The sequence below is a fragment of the Homo sapiens genome, chromosome 10, assembly GCF_000001405.40.
Source record: "Homo sapiens chromosome 10, GRCh38.p14 Primary Assembly".
Taxonomy (NCBI): domain Eukaryota; kingdom Metazoa; phylum Chordata; class Mammalia; order Primates; family Hominidae; genus Homo; species Homo sapiens.
In genome coordinates, this window is record NC_000010.11 from 118,802,285 (window position 1) to 118,823,843 (window position 21,559).

The following is a 21,559-nucleotide window of genomic DNA, read 5'->3' on the forward strand; positions in this document are numbered from 1 at the left end:
CCCCCCCCCCAGCCAGATGCATGCCTTTATTCCACATCTACCAAGTGACTCCTCGCATGAGGCCCTGTGCACTGGGCACTGCGCTGATAGGCAGGGCGTGGCGCTGACACCCTATGGCGGGGAAGGTAGACAGCAAACAAAACAAACAAACAGATGTGAATAAGGACAGAATGATGCTGTGAAGGACTTGGCCGAGTGTCCTTTGGAAGAGTGGGGAGGAGGACAGAGGGAGGAAAGGCCTCTCTGAGACCTGAAGGTAAGAAGGAGCTGGCCGTGTGGAAGGCAGAAAAGAGGGGTCCAGGAAGAGGCAGAGCATGGGTCATGAGCCCTTAGCAAGGCCTGGAAGAAAGTCCAGACATGTCTGGAGCATGGTGGGGGAAGGGAAAAGGGCGTGGTGGGGTGGCTGACAGGGGCCGCTCACGCAGGCACAGCCTGTGTCCTAGGGGCCCCTAATCCTTGTGGGGCCTGCAGGAGCCTCTGACTCTGGACCTGCTTGCCTTACATCACTTGGTCTGGTCTTGCCGCTCTCAGATACACATAGCCCTTCCACCAAAATTGTATACGTTGATTCAAATGAACATCTATTCCTCTTTGCTTTTTTAAAATTTTATTATTTTGTGTAGAGATGGGGATCTCACTATATTGCTCAGACTAGTCTCGAACTCCTGGGCTCAAGCAATCCTCCCACCTCGGCCTCTCAAAGTGCTAGAATTACAGGCCTGAGCCACCATGCTGGGCCTTCTTCATCTTTTCTACATAGAGATTAAGAGGGTACAAAAATTTGAATAAATTCCACCAGATCAACTTGATTGGTTCACCTTTAAAGAACACTTGAACTCAGGCTACTTTTGAACTGATTTACTGATAAGCATCTTGGGTGCCAAACAATAGGCTTGCCTGATGCTTCAACTTTCACTTGGGAGCTTGGCAGCCCGAAGACCTGACCAGAGACAGAACCTGAGGCAGGACAGAGGAAAGGAGAGGGAGCCGAGGAGGACAGCTCCCCAGAGCACAAAGGGCACACCCTGAACAAAGGGCAAAGGTGTCTCAGGTACTGGTGCCTGCTGGGAAACCAGCCGTGCCCTTCTACCCAGCTGGTGGGAAAGTAGCAGGTACAGTCTTTCTAGCAATTCTGCTGACTTTTTTTTTTTTTTTTTTTTTTTTTTGAGACGGAGTCTTGCTCTGTCTCCCAGGCTGCAGTGCAGTGGCACAGTCTTGACTCACTGCAACCTCTGACTCCCAGGTTGAAGCGATTCTCCTGCTTCAGCCTCCTGAGTAGCTGGAACTACAGGTGCCCGCCATCATGCCTAGCTAATTTTTGCATTTTTAGTAGAGTCGGAGTTTTATCATCTTGGCCAGGCTGGTCTCAAACTCCTGACCTCAAGTGATCCTCCCGCCTTGGCCTCCCAAAGTGCTGGGATTACAGGTGTGAGCCACCGCGCCGGGCCTCAGCTGACATTTCTAATGCAGGTTTCCTTTAATTCTGCGGTTCTACCACTAGGTGCCCCCTAATGGATACATGGACAAAAAAACATCGAGCTGTGCACACGTGACGGTCACTCCAAAAGTTGGAGGCCACCCAAATGACTCTCAGTTTGTCAAAGCAGGCCAAATCAATTTCAGCCCATCCATACAACAGAATAGTCTGCAGTGATTAGACATAAGGAGGCAAAGTTCTAGACTCAGAGTAAAAGACCCTGAAGATATATCATTAAATAAATGGGGGAAAGGCCAGATATGGAATAGTGTACGTATACCTTGCTCCCCTATGTAACTGTTTAAAATGATATATATTTATATGTAGATACATGCATACTTTTTTCTGGTGGGATACATAGGAAACTTTGGGGATGAGGATTGGGGTCAGAGAAAAGCAGGGAGATTTTAATCATTTTTCTAGATCTTTCTGTACTGGTCAAGTTTTTATATCATGCGCAGTTATTGCTTTTATTTAAAGAGTAATAGGAAGAAAGGAAGAAAAGACAAGACACCAGCCTCTATATTGGTAGAAACCAATTCAGTCCTCCCTTAAGCCCTGCCTGCCAGTGGCCGATGTCACCATGGAGAAGGTTACTCGGGAGCCTTCCTTACTCTAAACTCACTGCTCACTTGCTGGGGGAGTTGTGGGACTGGGAAGTTTCTCTGCAGGAGAAAGTGTCTTTATGCCAGAATTAGGCACAAAGGGCATTAGGACACTTGGCTGTCTGTGTCTGTGTGACTCAGGACACATAAGCTACAGACTCTTTTCACTGGAAGTTTTCAGCTCAATCTGGCAACCCATCTATTGAACACCTACTATGTGTCAGCACTCTGCCAGGCCTATGGAATGAGCAGACACAAAGGCAATTTAACCCTTGCCCCCAGGAACAAGATAAACAAATGACGCTGGAAACTGCAGATGAGGGAGAAGTGCTATAAGAGATGGGGACAAAGTGGAGGAAGGGAGAGATTCCCTATGGCCAGAGGGACCAGGAAGGCTTCCTGGAGGAGGTGGGAGTTGATATGGAGCAGTCCCACGCCAAGAGAACAGCTTGAGCAAAGATTGGGAAGCAAAAGAGAACTTGTGCAGGGAAGGAGGAGAGGCTGGAACCCAGAATGCTGGGCTGGGGAGGGAGAGGTGGGCAGGGGAGACGAAAGGTTAGCTCTGCCGAAAGCAAGAACCTGAAGGAAGACAGGAGCTGGGCCAGAGAGGGCTGAGTGCCCCGCAAGAGGTTTGCACTTAATTCTGTGAACACTGAAAGGTTTTGATTTGGGAGTAAGAGGGTCAGAGCTGTGTCTGAGGCTCATGTTGATGACTGTCTGGTTTGTAAAAGTCAGTGTCGCCTCGTGAAAACATGGAAGTGCCTACGGAGTAGATGCTGGTATGAAGGGCAGGGAAGAGCACTGTGAGCAAAGTCTTTGAGACCAACCTTGCAGACAGCGGGGACAGCAGGCTGGGCTCTGGGGAATGGGTCCGCTGGGGTCTGTCAGGATCTGCCCAGGTCTGCTGGGGTCGGCCGGGGTTTTAACCTTAAGCATCAGCTCCTAACTTGCCTGGAGGCAGGATGAGGGTTTCCACCTCCCGCGCCTTGAACCTCGGCACTTGCCACTCTAGTTACGGTTCTAGATGACTTGGCTCAGCTGCCCCCAGAATCACAGCCCAGGATCAGCCATCCTGGTCCTCCTGTGACAGGTAACGTGGAAAAGGCAGTCTATGGCCTAAGGGAGAGAGGCCACCAGGCTCACAAATGAGCTTCAATGTCACTCATCTTTTAAAAGTAGATTTCCGGCCAGGCACGGTGGCTCACGCCTGTAATCCCAGCACTTTGGGAGGCCAAGGCAGGCAGATCACCTGAGGTCAGGAGTTCAAGACCAGCCTGGCCAACATGGTGAAATCCTGTCTCTACTAAAAAACACAAAAATTAGCCAAGTGTGGCAGCAGGCACCTGTAATCCCAGCTACTCTAGAGGCTGACGAGGAGGCGGAGGTTGCAATGAGCTGAGATTGCGCCACTGCACTCCAGCCTGGGCAACAGAGCCAGACTCTGTCTCAAAAAAAAAAAAAAAAAGTAGATTTCCCATTTGCCTCTCTGAAAAGGAAGTTTTCTATAACTTTTCAAATCTTTCAGGCCCCAGTGCTGGCTCTTCCCTCCCTCAGGAACCTGCAGCCTCACCCCTGGCTGAAAGTGTCCCTATCTGCAGCTGACATCAGGCACATCTCACTTCTGAATAGCTGCTTCCAGCTGACCTTCTCCTGTGTTTTCAGCCCTGAGAGTATTATGAAGATTAATTAGAGAGAAGCTGTCTACTAGGAGGCAACCGCAGTACCAGTCTCTGGAGAGCAGGGCCCCTGTCTTACTTGGCCTCTCATTCCATAAGTGCCTGCTGAGTGCGCCAGGCCATCTTTCAGGTGATGGAGCACAGTGGCTGCGGGCCCCACTCTGGAGCAAGACTGCCTGGGCTTCTCTCTCTGCTTGCACCGCTGGACGTGGTGGCTCACCCCTGTAATCCCAGCACTTTGGGAGGCCGAGGCAGGTGGATCACCTGAGTTCAGGAGTTCGAGACCAGCCTGGCCAACATGGTGAAACCCTGTCCCTATTAAAAATACAAAAATTAGCCAGGCATGGTGGTGCACACCTGTAGTCCCAGCTACTCGGGAGGCTGAGGCAGGAGAATCACTTGAACCTGGGAAGCGGAGGTTGCAGTGAGCTGAGATCACACCACTGCACTCCAGCCTGGGCGACACAGCAAGACTCAAAAACAAAAACAAAAACAAAAACAAAAACAAAACAACAAGTTATGTGAACTTGGCCAAGCTAATGACCTTCTCTAAGCCTTAGGCCTGATGATGTTACCTACTTCTTAAAGTTTCTGAGAACAAGAAATGCAAACATATGTCCACACAAAAACTTGTACACAAATGTTCATAACAACCAAAAAGTAGAAACACCCCAAACATCCATCCACTGATGAATGGATAAAAAGAGGGCTATCTATAGAATTGAGTATTGTTTGTCAATAAAAAGGAATGCAGTAATGACACACGCCACCACAAGGATGAACTTTGAAAACATTATGCTAAGTGACAGAAGCCAGCCATAAAGGTCCACATATTGTACGATTCCATTTACAGGAAATGTCCAGAACAGCGAAATCTACGGACAGAAAGTAGATTAGTGATTGCATGGGGCTGGAGGAGGGGAAGTGGGACTGCTAATGGATACAGGGTTTTGTTTAGGGGTAACGAAATGTTCTAAGATTTATTGTAGTAATGGTGGCATAACTCTGTAAATATACTTAAAGCCATTGAATTGTACACTTTATTTTTTTTAGAGTCTTGCTCTGTTACCCAGGCTAGAGTGCAGTCGCACAGTCACAGCTCACTGCAGCCTTGAACTCCTGGGCTCAAGTGATCCTCCTGCCTCAGCCTCCCCAGTAGCTGGGACTACAGGTGTGCACCTCTACACTCTGCTCACTTTTACATATATATATTTTTTGTAGAGACGGGGTTGCCCAGGCTGGTCTCAAACTCCTAGGCTCAAGCAATTCACCTGCCACAGCCTCCCAAGTGCTGGGATTATAGGCGTGAGCCACTGCACCCAGCCAAACTGTACATTTTAAATCAGTGAGTCGTAGAGTATGAATTAGATCTCAATAAAACTGTTGAAAATGTTTCTTAGAACAATGCCTGGCACATGTTAAGCACTAAAGAAGTGTTAGCTACTATTATTTGTTGCTAGGGAAATAAGTGAAAAAGATGGGCAGATGCAACGGCCTGAATATTTGTGCCTTAGCCCCAAATTCCTAGGCTGAACTCCTTACCCACAAGGTGATAGTATTAGGAGGTGGGACCTGTGGGAGGTGATGTGGGTCATGAGGGTGGAATCCTCATGAGTAAGATGTGCTTCCTTATATAAGAGGCCCAAGAGAGACCCCTTGCCCCTCATGTGAGGACACAGTGACATGCCATCCACGAGCCGGAAGTGGCCCTCACCAGACATGGAATCTGCCGGTGCCTTGATCTTAGACTTTCCAGCCTCCAAAACTGTAAGAAATGAACTTGTGTTGTTGATACAGTTCCCAGTGTATGGTATTCTGTGGCAGCAGCCCACACAGACAAAGACAGCAGGTTTCCTGCTTCAGGAGCGTGCATTCACCGACTTCTCCTCTGCATCCCGTGCTGGGCTTGGAACCAAGTGGGCACATGGTGGACCCCACCAGCCTCTGCTAGACAATGTGTGTTCTCTAAAGTCCAGCCGTGTCACTCCATGAGAAAATTAGACTTGTCACCTCTGCTCCAGGCTGCCTGTCTGGCCTTTCCTGGCCCTTAGCAAGGCTCCCACTCTCTGGCCCACACAGCCAGATCACCGTCTCACTGAGCCTCGTTGCAGGCCACTGAGTCCTTATTTGCACCAGTTCTGTTCCTGGATTTTCTCAGCTCCTGACCTTCTGACTTGGTCTCATGTTCTGAGAGGTCCTTGGCCCCGTCACCTCCCACCTCACCCTTGGACTTGACAATGCATCTACTTCTCCGGGTCGGCCCTTCAGTTCTACTGGACAGGCTGTGTTTCCCACCCCACCCAAGGGACAGGACAGTAAGAGTGAAACCGACATTCTCATTCTCCAGGCACTGCCAAGATGCCAAGTGCACCAGTTCTAGGAACATGGAATTCACAGGGGGACTCTGAGTGGGGAAACAAATGAAGAACAGACCTTGTCCTCCAGGAGCCACCCCCAGGTTCACCCCAAGTTGCCTGGTGACCACAGAACCACTTTCCTGGAGAGGCTTCGAGGGAGCAGGGGAGGCAGGACACCAAGGCACCACCTCTAGCCCACCTCCCAGTAACCCCCCTCAGTCCTGGGCCACTCTGTTTCACAACCTGGTGGGAGGGGAGCTCTCCCACCAGAGGGTCCTATGGGAGGGGATGTCCCTGCCCCTCCACCCTGCCCCTCTGCTGCTCCTCCTCCTCCGATGCTGGTAACAGATAGGGCAGAAACAGTAATGACAGCAACAGGCCAAAAGCAGAAGGCCAAGGCCAGGCAGCCAGCAGTTGGGGTTATTGTAAGACTGGGCGGCCTCGCCTTGCATCCACAGCGGGAAGAGGCTGAGGGATCAGAGGAGCTGCGCATGGCGCTGCTCCACCGCCAGCCAGGTGGTCCTGATGTGGGAGAGCTGGCTGCCTTCCAGGAATGAGGCAGAGAGGAAAGACGACGAGGCCGAGGGGCAACTGCATTCCCTGAGATGACCTGAACCGGGGCATCTGTCCTCCCCCAGAGGTAGAACTAGCTCCCGGCCTGTCTGCAACTGCTGCGTTTGCCCTTGTCTTTCTCAGTTTGTGCCTTCGTGTCACACACCTGCCTGGGTGACAGCAATCATCTATCTTCCTGTGCAGGTGGCCAATGGTCATTAGGTGGAATGAAGCTGGCGGGATGGAGCGAGGCGGCCACAGCTGCAGGCAGAGCCATGGGATCAGGAATAATGAACACCGCACACGGAGCCAGGCAGCAGAGAGCCCCGGCCAGCACAAATGACTGGCCTTCCTCTCTCGCCAGTGGCTTTGCAGGGGCCAGCCCCTCCATCCAGAAGAAATGGGTCACAGCGTGTGAATTCACAGCAGGCCCGAGCCGACAGGGACAGGCACCCGTGGAGGCCATCAGGACTCTAAGTGCCCGCTGGAGAGTAGGGCGGTGACCTCTGGCTTGTTTTGTGCTGTGGGTGGGGCCTTTGCCTCTTCCTCAGAAGGAGGGATCAGGCAGGAGGAAGAGGAGCCTTGCTGGCTCCTGCAGGGTCACACTTACTCTGTCACTTCCTCCTCTATCTCTCCTACCCAGAGTGGCCCGGTGAGGGAGGCTGGGCACGTTGGGTATAGCTGGTTGGTACCATGGGTCCAAGATGAGGAGGCCCCTCTCCCTGGTACTCCCAACATGGGGTTCAGAGCAAACGCCAGAGATCATGCCCAGGCTGGGTGCCAAAGCCAAGATGGGCAGTCGCTTCCCACTGTGGTCAGGTGAGAGAGAGGGAAGAATGAGAAGGTGGGGTTAAGACGGGGGAGGCAGGAGAGCCAAGGAGCCAGGAGGGCTGAGAGGAAGCAGAGAAGGGGACTGCTAGGGATGGGGGGTGGATTTCAGAGCAGGAGCACCAGCTTCATTTGGGGCCAGAACTGGTCAGACATGAGATCATTCCTGACACCATCCTGCAGCTGGATGCTTTCTGACACGTGACCATTGCCAGCCCCACGGGGACACCAACCGGGTGCAGAGCACAGCCCCGGGGGTCTCATCAGATGTCAGGGCTGGAGCCAGGCTTCACTGCCTACTTGCTAGTGACTGGGCAAACTAGTTCATTTCTCTGAGTCTAAGATTTTTCACCTGTAAATACGGGACATGACGCCCACAAGCTGTTACATTCGCTGAGGGGGCACGCACAAAGTGCTGGCACGTTCTAGGTATTCAGAAGCAGTCTGTGAATAATACCATTGAAAACCCCCTGGTGGAAACTGCAGTCCTGACCTCTGGTTTTGGGTGTGAAGTTGGGGCAAGAAGCTTCCAATTAGGCTCCTGGTATGTATGGCACCCCCTGGCTGAGTCATCACCACCACCCCTGACATCACACCAAGGAGGGGCTGCTCTGAGGTCCTCAGACCCTTTTTTTAAAAAAACAAGTAGTCATTGACACTTTAGTATAACGTGCTGCAATTAGGCTATCGGGTCCTTCTCTCCTAAACCCTAGGAAACACCAACTCTGAGATGTCCTTGGAGAGCAGGACTTGGGGGACCTCTCTGCAGCCAGGAACCTGGGGTGGGAGAGATGGGGTGCTGAGTGGTACCATCTTCACTTCTTCTCACCTGAATTTCCTTCCCTGCTCCCCAAGCTAGAATACCCATGACCACCTGCAGACCCAGCCCTACCTAGGTCTGAGACCATCCTAATGGGCAGCAAGTATCTTGACAACCTCAGTAATGCCAGCCCTTGGGGCTAAGATGACTTCCTACTGTCCACAGGCCTAAGCCTATATTTCCAAGTCACCCTTAGGGTCACATGCCTGCAAGTTGACCCCTAGGTTGGCTCAGAAAAAAGGACAAGATTCCTGCCTCACTTTCCCTGCCCAGCACTCCATTGCCCCACAGACCTTGAGCCCTGCTCTGACCCCACTGTCTGCTTAGTGGGGGCCCCAGCATCCTGCTGGAGTTTCCCAGTCTCTTCCCTCGAGGCTGGAGCTTGGGGTAGACTGCCCGGAGCTTGCCACATCTGTTGGAGCCTGGACAGCAGGTCATTTGGTTGGCCTTGCCAGGGCCACACCTGCCCCATTCTCCTGGTCCCGGGGCCTTCACCCTTCCCATGAGCCTGTCAGCTGGGATTACTGTGGTCCAAGTAGGTCTCACACCCAAACTTGTCTCCTTTCTTCTTTCCTCTTTTCATATTTATTCAGTGGACTGGACAGTGTGGTTCAGTGGCTGGATGAAGCAGTCATTGCCTTACTGAAAGCAGAGAAGAGCTAAAAGGGAGCAGAGGCAGGAAGAGGCCAAGTGTCCCTCAGGGGAGCCAGACATGATTGCTCCAAGAAGCCAGAGCAGGAAAGGGAGGGGGTGTGAAGGGGCGCTGGGAGGAGGCCCAGTGCAAATACAGACACCAGCATCATGCAAACATGTATTGCATGTTGGTTCAATATCCAAGCCCCACAGTCAGACCACCCGGTTCAAATAACTTTGGGTGATCTTGGGTAAATAATTTATCTGAGTCTCATCTGAATGTCCTTATCTGAAAAATAGAAATAATGAAACCTAAAGGGTTGCAATAAGAATTACATGAGACACCCAGTCTCTACTAAAAACACACAAAAAAATTAGCCGGGCATGGTGGTGCACACCTGTAATCCCAGCTACTCAGGAGGCTGAGGCAGGAGGATTGCTTGAATCCGGGAGGCGGAGGTTGCGGTGAGCCAAGATTGCACCACTGCACTCCAGCCTAGGTGACAGAGGGAGACTCTGTCTCACAAAAACAAAAAAAAAAAGAATTACATGAGACAGCATACAGACTGTGCCTGTCATATAGGAGACAGGAGACACTCTAGATGATAGGAGCCATTATTTTATTGGAAAATAGATAACACAACCTACTTTGGGTATAGGGACACCACCTCCAGGAAGCCTTCTAGGCTTTCTTTCAAGCTTCTAGAGCCCATTTTCAGGAAAGAGAGAGCAAAGAACTGGGGTGGGTGCACATAAAGATAAGAAACAGAAACAAGCATGCATTTTGCACCTACCTGGGGCCAGGCACTGTGTTAGACCCTTGGTTTACTATACCTCATTCTATCTACCCAGCATCCAAAAAAATTGACATTCTGGTTGGCCCCACAAAATAGTAACTCAACTTCCATCGCTGGCCTGTGAGTTGCTCCTGCGTGTTTCATGTGGTGACCTGCAAGGCCCGCAGGGACACCCCTAGGCAAATGGCTCTGGACTGGCATTTGGTGATCCACGTGGAGAGGAACCGCGCTTTCCAAGGCCGAGGGGCTGTAAGCAGCAGAACGTTGCACTTTTTTCCTGCAGAGCAGTGGGGTGAGGGAGAAGCAGCAGCGTGGGCCCTGCCAATCAAAGGCGAGGCCAGATAGCATGCTCAGATTGGGGATGGAGGCTCGGCTTCTTCACGGTGCTGGGTCACAGGGTAACTGGTGGGGCGGGAGTTCTGGAATGATCTGTTTGGCTCTCTGTGAATGGCTGTTTGCCATGGCAACGAACACTGCGGAGACTCTGAGCTTGCTCAGTTGGGAACCTGCTCTCCAGGGACATTTCAAAGCTCTTCCCCTCATTGTGTGGGAGCGCTGCTCACCGAGTGCATCCCTGCAGCCTGGGAGAAGCCTGGAGCTCCCCACATTTCCCTCGGTGGCAGCCAGTGCTCTCGGCTTTCCTTTCTCCAGGAGTCTCAGATCAACTGACAATGGATGTGCAGAGGCGAGAAAACCCTGGGCAAGTTCTTCACACCCAAATAGACTCCGGTCGGGACCAACCTCTCTGGGAATTCACCTGCCACAAAGGCTCTCTCCCTATCCCACTCCCACCAGCAGAAGTCAGCAAGCCTAGAAAACACTGTCCCCTCACCCTCACTGAGCCAAGTGTTACTTTCTACCCCAAGATTTTCTCGCATTCCTTCACCCCATACCCGTTCCACAAGCAGTTACTGAGAAGGTAAAAATAAATACAGCGCCAGGCGTGGTGGCTCACACCTGTAATCCCAGCACTTTGGGACGCAGGCAGATCACATGAGGCCAGGAACTTGAGACCAGCCTGGCCAACATGGCGAAACCCCGTCTGTACTAAAAATACAAAAATTAGCCAGGTATGGTGGCGTGTGTCTGTAATCTCAGCTACTCAGGAGGCTGAGGCACGAGAATCTCTTGTAGCCGGGAGGCGGAGGTTGCAGAGCTGAGAGTTGCACCACTGCACTCCAGTCTGGGCAACAGAGTGAAACTCCATCTCGAAAAAATAAAGAAATAAAAATAAATAAGTAGGACGGGCACGGTGGCTCATGCCTGTAATCCCAGCACCTTGGGAGGCCGAAGTGGGCAGATCACAAGGTCAGGAGTTCGAGACCAGTCTGGCCAACATAGTGAAACCCCGTCTCTACTAAAAACACAAAACATTAGCCGAGTGTGGTGGTGTGCGCCTGTAATCCCACCTACTCGGGAGGCTGAGGCAGGAGAATCACGTGCACCCAGGAGGCGGAGGTTGCAGTGAGCCTGGGCGACAGTGCAAGACTCCATCTCAAAATAAATAAATAAATACAAACTTACATACATACAGTTCCCCCAAAAAACAGGGTGGAGGGGCCCAGGCTGTGCCAGCTCGGCTAAGTATGGCTCCAAATCACCCTAACAGGGAAAGATGGGGTCCTGGGAAGTTAAGAAGGTGGAATTTTCTGAAGATGCCACCCCCACCCCTAAATTCGCTTCTCCTACTGTTCTCCCCATCCCATAATTGCCAAGTCCATTCTTCCAATTATTCAGGCCCATCCTGGACCAGCACCCCTCTCTTTCTCTTGTGCCCATATCCAACCTCTCAGTAAAGCCTCTGGAGTTTAACCTTCAAAAAATATTCCACGTGCCCCCGCTTTCCCCACCTGTACTGCCATCATAGGCTGTCCCTATCTCCGCCTTCACTGCCCTCCCCACGGAGCAGCTAGAGTGAGCGTGAAGTCAAACTGCGTCCCTTGCTCACTAGTGACTTCCCACTCCACTTGGGGAGCAGCCACAGGTTCTGAGGCCCTGAGGAACCTGGTCCCTGCTACCCCCAGATCTCCTCCTCCTTTCCTCCCCAGTCTACCTTAGTTGTGCTGACCTTATTGTCTCCCCTCCAGGACATTTCTCCAATGTCAGCTTCTCAGATCTCACCGCACACCTGTGCTGGAGGCTGGGATGCTCCACCCAGACCCCCTTCAGATATAAAAGGTGATGGCTGGGTGCGGTGGCTCATGCCTGTAATCCCAGCACTTTAGAAGGCTGAGGCGAGCAGATCACCTGAGGTCAGGAGTTCAAGACCAGCCTGGCCAACATGGTGAAACCCCGTCTCTACTAAAAATACAGAAGTTAGCTGTGTCCCTGTAATCCCAGCTACTCAGGAGGCTGAGGCAGGAGAATCACTTGAACCCAGGAGGTGGAGCTTGCAGTGAGCCGAGATGGTGCCACTGCACTCCAGCCTGGAGACAGAGCAAGACTAAGTCTAAAAGAAAGAAAGAAAAGAAACGAAAAGAAAAGAAAGAAAAGGCGACCCTCAGAATGCAGGACAGCCTTTAGCTATCACCCCCTCTGGGTATGGCCTCAGCTGAGTGAGCCCCCTTGCCCAAGGTCTCACCTCCTTCTTAGAGAGCTTGTGCAGGGGGCATGAAGTCCCCATCCTTTCACCCCAAATTTGTACAGCCCTGTTTTAGTCTGTTTGGGCTGCTGTTATAGAATACCATAAACTGGGTAGTTTATAAACAACAGAAATCTGTTGCCAAGAGTTCTGGAGGTTGGGAAGTCCAAGATAAAGCCACCAGCAGAATCTGTGTCTTAGCCTGTTCCTCATGAACGTGGCTTCTCACTATGTCCTCACATGGCAGAAGGGGTGAGGGGTCTCTCTTGGGCCTCTTGTGCAAGGTCACTAATCCCATTCATGAGGGTTTCACCCTTATGACCTAATCACCTCCCAAAGGCCTGACATCCTAATATCATCATCTTGGGGGTGAGAATTTCAACACAGGAATGTAGCAGGTGCACAAACACTCAGACCATAGCAAGCCCTCAAGGGCCATCCCACCTCAGAACTCCCCTGCAGGGTAGGCTGAAGCTTCCCTCGAAACTGCATCAAAGCTCAACTTCTCCCTCTTCCCCACCCTGCTTCCTTCCCCTCCTTACCTCCTGCAGGTGTGGATCAAATCACCCTTGTAGGACAAACAGCAGCATCAGGCTTCATGGAGCGGACTGTTTAAGACCCTCCATATGGGATTCTTCTCTACCAGACTGACTAGGTTCAAATCCCAGTTGCATCCTTTGCAGGCCATGAAACTCTGGGCAAGTTCTTTAACTGCTCTGTGTCTCAGTTTCCCCAACTGCACAATAGAGGTTATACCCTAGATCTATTGTGATGATTAAATGGGTTAATATTCAGAGCAGCGCCTGATACGTGGGAAATGCTAACAATAAAAAGACGATATTTCTTAGCTCCCCATCCTCCAGAAAAGCTCTATGTTCCAGAGCAGAGTTTTCTCCCCTTGCCACTGTTGCTGGGGGAGCTGCCCCTCATGCATGGATATGAATCCCAGCTTTACTGGCATCAAAGGGCCTACAGGGGCCAGCCTCATGTGGCCAAGCAAAAAGCATTCAGGCAAAGCCACAGGTAAAGGGTCAGGACTGGGGATCTCTTGTTCCACGATGAGGGGCATAGCTTGACCCAGGCTGGTCGGTCAGCTCAGGACAGAGCTGGGCAAGAATTCCAGAACAAGGAGGCACCACCATGGGAGAAAGCTTAGGTTCTGGGCCAGCCCTGGATTTTAGTTCCGAGCCTGCCACTCACAGTTGTGCGTCTGTGACCAAGTTACTTAGTCCCTATGATTCCTTGCATCCCAATCTCAAAGCAGGGCTGGTGGAGGTGCCTACCCTTCTGGTGTAAGAATTGAATGAGTTCATGGCCGGGCGTGGTGGCTCATGCCTGTAATCCCAGCACTTTGGGAGGCTGAGGAGGGTGGATCACGAGGTCAGGAGTTCAAGACCAGCCTGGCCAACATGGTGAAACCCCGTCTCTACTAAAAATACAAAAAATTAGCCAGGTGTGGTGGCGGGTGCCTGTAATCCTAGCTACTCGGGAAGCTGAGGCAGGAGAATCGCTTGAACCTGGGAGGTGGAGGTTGCAGTGAGCTGAGATTGTGCCTTTGCACGCCAGCCCCTGTGACAGTGTGAGACTCCGTCTCAAAAGAAAAAAAAAGAATGGAATGGGTTCATGCCTGAAAAATATCTGGAAAATGGCTAATAGGTAGTAATGTCCTCCTCCCACCCCTGTATCAATGAGTTATGGCTGCATAACAAACACTCCAACACTTTGTGGCTTAAAACAGCAACACATTTCTTTTGCAAGTGAAGCTGTAGTCTTTTCTTTTGCATGTGAGTGGCAGGACTTAGTGGGTCAACTCATCTCTGCTTCACTCAGCAACAGCTGGGGCAACTTGAATGCAGGGAGCTGGAATCATCTGAGGTCTCGCCCCCTCTTGTGTCTGATGTCTGGGCTGGGACCGTATAGCAGCTAACAGCTTGGGCTCCTTGGGTCTCTTTCTTTCTCTTTCGCTCTTTCTTTCTCCCTCCCTCCCTCTCTCTCTCCCTCTCCCTCTCTCTCTCTCACACGCGCCTCGGAAGTCACTTTGTCACATGATTGGTCAAGCCAGTTACAAATGTCTGCTCGGTTTCAAGGGGAGAGAGCATAGACCCCCTCCTCTCATAAAGGAGCATTGCTGTCACACTGTAAGAAGAGCATAGGGTGGAGTACATGTTGGTGCAGCTGTCTTTGGAAAATGCAATCTGCCCCACACCACATTTGGCACGGCTCTGTGCCACGCCCGCCTCCCCAGAGGCTTAGGTGGGATCCAGGACTCCCCAACGGGGGCTGGCTCCCTCTCTCGTTGAACTTGAAAGGGCACATCTGTGTTTTAGGCTCTACCTCCTTAAGCTCTTTAGGCCCTGGCCAAGCATTACCTTCACTAGTGCCTGCAACCAAGAACCCTAGGACCCGCCTCTTGCCTTCCAGCCAACAGGCCCTTCCACCTGAGCAGGGCTAGGCTGGCAGCACTTCCAGGCCCCCTCAGGGGAAGCCTCCTCCAGAACTATTTGCACCTGAGCCCACGTGAGTCGAATTTACGTCCCTAACCCAAAACAATTCTATAACAATTCTTTAGGTTTTTAATTCCTATCATTTACGCCCAACCAGTTGAGATGAAATAAGACAAAAAGAAATATTCAAATGCCCCAGCTCCTTGCCAATGTTCAGAAGGGATGGCTTGTGCCCATTTAAAGCCCCTGCCTCAGCTGGTCTGTGGACTCATCTCTTCGCTGTAAAGGCCAGTGAGGTGTGGACAGTGGGCTTGACCAGAAACCTGGCAGGAAAACAGGCCAGAACCACCCACCATGGGCTCAGGTGGCTCAGATTACTTATCTAGAGTACCTATAACCCAGGTGTCACCTGGGGTCTCCCTGCCTGTTCAGATCTAGACATCTTTGCCTCAAACCCCCTTCCACGGCCCAGCCCCGGGCCTCCCCAAAGCACTACATTCCCCTGAATTTCCGCTTCCAGCTCCACGTTCTAGGCTTGCTTCCTCGTACTCGTGCGGTCCCTGGCCAACCACAGGACACAGACCCCGCCATCCACTCCAGGCCTGAGCAGGAAACTGCAACGGCGATTTGGGAACACAGAGGGCAGAAGGATCTACAAAACGGGTTTGAAATTAAATCTTGGATGTGCCTGCCCTCATGGAGAACCTCAGCCATCGCACCAGTTTGGGTGCCAGCTCCTACCAGGCTACTCAGCCTACTCTTTCCTTGTAGATCCCCCTGCAACTTCCAAAAATCCCCCCACTTTATCGTGCAGAGTATCTCAGCTTTCTCCAGCTCCAAATGCCAAAGAGCCCAGAGCCCCTTTGCATGTCCACAATGGCACGTTCTCACAACAGCATACCATTGACTGCAGCCTGGGATGTGCACGTTGACTCCCTTGAGTTGATACGAAGTTGGCCCGTCCTCCCTGGAGTCAGCTTGGATCTCTTATAGTGATATTTTACCCAGTATGGGGAGCTGGATGTGCCCCGGCCCAGTCCAGCTCTCTCACCTGGTCTCGCCTACCTGCTTCTCCGCTCAGGTGGGGCTGGGGTGGGGCTGGGGAAGGAGGAAGAGGAGACGGCTAGCCGAGACGGGGACTGGACTTGTATGTGAGCCTGGCCTCTCTAGCACTACACTTAAGACTATCAGGGGCTAGGAAGAGGTCAGTCACAGCTCCGAGAAGTTAGTCAAACTGTTTGACCTGAGCAGCCAAGCCTGTGGCTCAGAGGGTACAGGATGGGCCGAAGAGTTCGTGGACCTGTGACATCATCCCCGGTCGTTCACTCCAGAGAATGGGAAAAGGTTGATCCAGCCTAAAGTCCACCTCTGCTGGGACATCTGCAGCAGGATGACCATGGAGCAGCCACCTCCCCAGAACACCCTGGCGCAGGACTGTGTACTGGGCGTGCCTACCCACATCTCACCTTTGCCAGTCCTCAGCAAATAGAAGCATCCAGCTGACAGGTCCCTGGGGATAGTGACAGGCATGGAAAGGAAAGGCAGCTGGCAAGGTGTCAAGAATAAAAGCTGGTTGGCCCAAGCAAAGGCAGGCCACACCTGGAGCCCTCCCCATAGCCATGGTCAAGTGCCTTCTGTTTGGCTGGCCTCTCCTCACTGCTCCGTGCCCAGGCCTTCCCGGGAGGTTTTTCACCCTCCGTTAGCCACCATCTGGCGGTGTCATTGGGAGCCTGGAGGGTGGCCAGGAGCTGGCGCAGGATGGTAGCGGAGATTGCTGGCCTGTGTGCTGGGCCTGACTCGAGGGACGTCGACTCTCTCCTGATTCGATGACTGGGGAGGGTTCCAGCTGTACAGAGAGTGGCCTCCCAGGGCCGACAGATGGGCAGCCCCAGGAGGAAGCCACATGGCAGGACCATGTTGTTGTTAAACGCAGCTCATTAGGTTTTATCAGCAAGATGCTGCTCGGTTGGCAAGAACACACCTGCCCCCCCGCAGCAGTGGCCCACAGAAGCGCTGGCGGCCTTGGGCACACTTTGCTGGGGAGGCTGGAGCAGTGGGCCTGTTCTCAGGGCTTGGCAACCCCTCTTAGGCCTCAGAGGCCCCCTCTATGCATGGGGGACCTCAGGGAAAAGCTAAAGGGTATGGAGGCACACTGCACGGAGGCCAGGGAACCCACATCCCACCATCCCCGGGGATTGTCACCAGAGGACAGCCAAGATGTGGGGGCAGGGCCAACTCTCCCCACTGGCAGCTGCTGCCCCAAGGCTGGACTCTACCAACAGACCACCCCGAGGACCGACAAACTTTGTAAAGGCTCAGATAGTAATTATTTCAGGCCTTGCAGGCCAAGAGCTCAAAATTGAGGATACTGCGTAGGTACTTGTTAAAATATTTAAAATTTAACCATTTAGAAAGAGAAACCATTCTTAGTTCACAGGTGGTGGGCCAGATTTGGCCCTTGGGCCACAGTTTGCCAACCATGGGCTTCAATCCCCTGGGTAAAGAAGCCAGCAGAGGCCGGTCACAGTGGCTCTTGCCTGTAATCCCAGCACTTTGGGAGGCCGAGGCAGGCAGATCACCTGAGGTCAGGAGTTCGAGAGCAGCCTGGCCAACGTGGCAAAATCCCATCTCTACAAAAAATACAAAAATTAGCCAGACGTGGTAGTGCACACCTGTAATCCCAGCTACTTGGGAGGCTGAGGCAGGAGAATTGCTTGAACCTGGGAGGCGGAGTTTGCAGTGAGCCTAGGTCACGCCACTACACTCCAGCCTAGGTGACAGAGGGAGACTCCATCTCAAAAAAAAAAAAAAAGTCGGGGTATGGTGGCTCACGTCTGTAATCCCAGCACTTTGGGAGGCCGAGGCAAGTGGATCACCTGAGGTCGGGAGGTCAGGAGTTCGAGACCAGCCTGACCAACATGGAGAAACCCCATCTCTACTAAAAATACAAAATTAGCCAGGCATGGTGGCACATGCCTATAATCCCAGCTACTCGGGAAGGCTGAGGCAGAGGAATCGCTTGAACGTGGGAGGTGGAGGTTGCGGTGAGCCGAGATTGTGCCATTGCACTCCAGCTTGGGCAACAAGAGCGAAATTCCATCTCAAAAAAAAAGAGAAAAGCAGCAGCAGCAGCCAGCAGAAGAGGCTGCCTGCAGCTCTCCTCCAAGGATGAGCCCTCAAATCTCAATAAGGGTGCCATAAAAGAGCTGGGGGCTAGAGGAGTTGGCGCAGCTCCTGTGCATACCCACCTCTCTCATGACATCTCACCTGGGGCACTGGACCTGCCTGTGTGTGTGTCAGTCTCTCCCCAGCCACTGGCCTGGCAAGAGTAGTCGGGGAGGCTCCATCTTCCCCAGAATCCCAGTACCACCCCCACGCTATGCTGAGGACTCTTCCCCAACTCAGGACTCCCATTTGGTCCTGCGGGCTCTACGTTGCACTGTGGCCAAGCTGGCATCTCATGGTATTACTTGCCCCTCCCCAGCCCCCGCCCCACAGATTGCAGAGATGAGTCCAGAGGGTGCTACACCTGGAGATCCCAAGCTGTGCTGTAGCCCCGCTAGCCGCCCCACTAGCCCTCCCGCTGTACCATGGCCAGTGCTGGGTTGAGCTTGTCTTCCTAACTGCCTCTACTTTAAGGGGGCTTTTCTCCCAGCAAATTCCTGAGTCCATCAGGCAAATACACTTCTGGGTGGGCCCCAGTGCCCTAGCCCAGCCACATCTGAATCCACTTAGCCTCATGCTGAGACCCTCGTCACTACCTTATATTACCCACCCACCCGCATCTTACAGGAAAAACTAGCAGAAAGGGGCCTGAGCACGAGGCCAGGCATCCTGGGCTAGAACTTGGGCCGTGGGACCTCGGAGCCAGCTGCTCAGCCTCATGCAGTTCCTCCTTCCCCATCTGCTAAGTGTGGTAACTGCTGTCTGCAGCCCGGGTGCCACCCATCATCCTCTGTACGGGGATGCATACAGTGTAGGATGCATATACAGCCTGGCATGCGTTTAGTCCTCAGTGGTTGCTGATGGGATGTGCATTTGAAATGGAAGTCCAGGAAAAGGATGAGATGCGGAGATGAGGGTGCAGAAACAGCCATGGGGAAGGCAGAGAGAGGCAATGATCCAGAGCTGGGGAGGAGGGAGCGCGGAAGAAAGCTGGGATCTGAGCGTTTGCACCTTGTTTACCAGAACAGTGCCCATTGATCTGTGGCACAAAGGTGGGGGAGGGGTGGATAGGAAGCGGGAAAGTGTGGGAGAACCATCTGACCACCTGTCACAGGTGAGACCTCAAGACAGAACCGAATCCAAGCATCCTTACAATCTCCTCCATCCCTGATTGGGAACAGACGCCTTCCCTTTGTGCACTTGGCCAAGGGCCTCATCACCAACCTAGTGGGAGGAATTGGTGGCTTATTCCAGGCTATTCTGGAGATATACCTGTTGGCAATCAAAACGATTGTGGTGTAACTGAGTTAACGCTTTGTAAACTAGACTGCACATACTTGATTCCAAAATACAGATTCACTCATTTTTAACCAATTCTGGTGCTGTCTTTGTAAAGCCTCAAGTTAAAATAAGCATTTCAGAAAGCACTCTACCAAATGACTTGTACAAGAATGTTCATAAGGCAGGCATGGTGGCACACACACGTAGTTCTGGCTACTTGGGAGGCTGAGGTGGGAAGATCACTTGAGCCCAGGAGTTCAAGCCTGCAGTGAGCTACAGTCACACCACTGCACTCCATTCTGAGCAACACAGCAAGACTCTGTCTCTAAAAAAATAAAAAAAAAAAGGTTCATAGTAGCCTTGTTTGTACAGATCAAACTGGAAATAACCCAAAAGTCCATCAAGAGTTGGGCCAGGTGCGGTGGCTCACACCTATAATCCCAGCACTTTGAGAGGCCGAGGTGGGTGGATCACTTGATGCCAGGAGTTGGAGACCAGCCTGGGCAACATGGTGAAAACCCATCTCTACTAAAAATACAAAAATTAGCCAAGCGTGGTGACACGTGCCTGTAGTCCCAGCTACTGGGGAGGCTGAGGCAGGAGAATCACTTGAACCAGGGAGGTAGAGGTTGTAGTAATCAAAGATCACGCCACTGCACTCCAGCCTGGGTGACAGAGTGAGATTCTGTCTAAAACAAAAACAAACAAACAAAATTCCGTCAACAGTTGGATAAATAAATTTGTGGAATATTCCCACAATGGAATACTACTCAACACTAAAAATGAATCATTGACGCATGCAACAGTATGAATGAATCTTACCGATTCAAAGAGGCAAAACTCATCAATGGTGATGGAGGTTGGACTACTGTTCAGCCTCTGTTGGGTACTGGCTGATAAAGAGCACAAGGGAGGCTGGGCGCGCTGGCTCACGTCTGTAATCCCAGCACAGCCCTTTGGGAGGCAGAGGCGGGCAGATCATGAGGTCAAGAGATCAAGACTATCCTGGCCAACGTGGTGAAACCCTGTCTCTACTAAAAATACAAAAATTAATTGGGCATGGTGGTGCGTGCCTGTAGTCCCAGCTACTCAGGAGGCTGAGGCAGGAGAATCTGTTGAACCTGGGAGGCGGAGGTTGCAGTGAGCCAAGATCACGCCACTGCACTCTAGCCTGGTGACAGAGCAAGACTCCATCTCAAAAAAATAAAATGAAATACAAGCACAAGGGAAATTTCTAAAATGCTAGGAGTATTTTAGATCTTGATAAGGGAGTAGCCACATGGGTGTATATACATATGTAAAGATTCATCTCACTGTACACTTAAGATTTGGGTTCTCAAATTCACTTTTAAGTTAAACCTCAATTTAAAAATATTATTCTTCCAAAAAAATCCTGTAAGAGTTGTTAAAGGGTTTGCACAAGGACAATCCAAGGAACATCCTTATCATAGCACTGGTTTCCCAGGCTATGTACAAGACCCAGGTGAGTACAAGACCATCAAACCAGCCCTTAGTCCCCCTTGTCTGTGTACCAGCTCTCAATTGCCATAGTTCCTGTACTATGGGTGGTAGCTTTTGCTCCCTGTTCCTTCTCTTTGTTAGGATGGCTTCAGTTGGGATGGCTTTGGCTGCAAATAACACCCAAACAAACGTGGTTTGAACAGTAGAGGTTTTCATCTCATATAACAAGAAGTCTGGAGGTGGAGGTTTGAGGGGAGGTTCACAGCTCCGCAGCATCGGGGCTGCACGACACATTCTCTGAGAATCTATTGTGTTAACCTTGCCCTCCTGATTCCAACACAGTTGCTGCAGGCATCACTTCCCCAAACAACTGCATCCCAAAATCTGAAGTTGGGGGAGGGGTTCTCATCTAAATCAAGACCCCAAGAGACTTCCCTCAAGTCTTATTGGCTAGAGCTGGTCACATGCCCAGCCCTAATGCTCTTGTAGGCCAAGGGATGAGGGTTGGGCCAGAGATTCACCCCCACCGAGCATGTTGTGCCCTGTATCTGACCACATTTGAGGTTCTGTTGGAAGGAAGATGGAAGAAGTGGATGTTGGGTTGGAAACCAACTGAGCTGCCAGGCCTTGTTGGTTTTTCTGTTTTTGAGCTTCTGCATTATTTTTAACTGGAGATATTATACTGTCAAAACAAGTGAGTCATCATGCCCTTCTAACTGAAGCCTGGTGAATTTTTAATACTTCATCCAAATTCCCAGGGAGGACACAGATGCATGCATGGGATAAGGCAAGGAAATGTTAGGCTGCCCTTGGAAGGCTTGATGTCATCACAGCAGGAGCTGGAATGCTGTGTTTATGGAGAGGGGCTGGGCAAGGGACCAC

At 51.7% G+C, this 21,559-nt stretch overlaps 1 long non-coding RNA gene across 2 annotated transcripts in view, besides 2 other annotated features; it reads right to left on the reverse strand.

The window, feature by feature from the left end:
• The window catches only part of LINC03036 (long intergenic non-protein coding RNA 3036), a 245,028-nt gene that overhangs the window by 17,741 nt on the left and 205,728 nt on the right, over window positions 1-21,559 (reverse strand). The gene's annotated exons all lie outside the window — the stretch shown is intronic.
• Window positions 6,348-7,116: an enhancer, noted in NCBI's record as "H3K4me1 hESC enhancer chr10:120568144-120568912 (GRCh37/hg19 assembly coordinates)". NCBI's record gives its function as "activates a minimal SCP1, AML or CMV promoter by ChIP-STARR-seq in primed H9 embryonic stem cells {active_cell/tissue: H9 hESC(primed)}" and the evidence as "EXISTENCE:reporter gene assay evidence [ECO:0000049][PMID:30033119]".
• Window positions 7,117-7,885: an enhancer, noted in NCBI's record as "H3K4me1 hESC enhancer chr10:120568913-120569681 (GRCh37/hg19 assembly coordinates)". NCBI's record gives its function as "activates a minimal SCP1, AML or CMV promoter by ChIP-STARR-seq in primed H9 embryonic stem cells {active_cell/tissue: H9 hESC(primed)}" and the evidence as "EXISTENCE:reporter gene assay evidence [ECO:0000049][PMID:30033119]".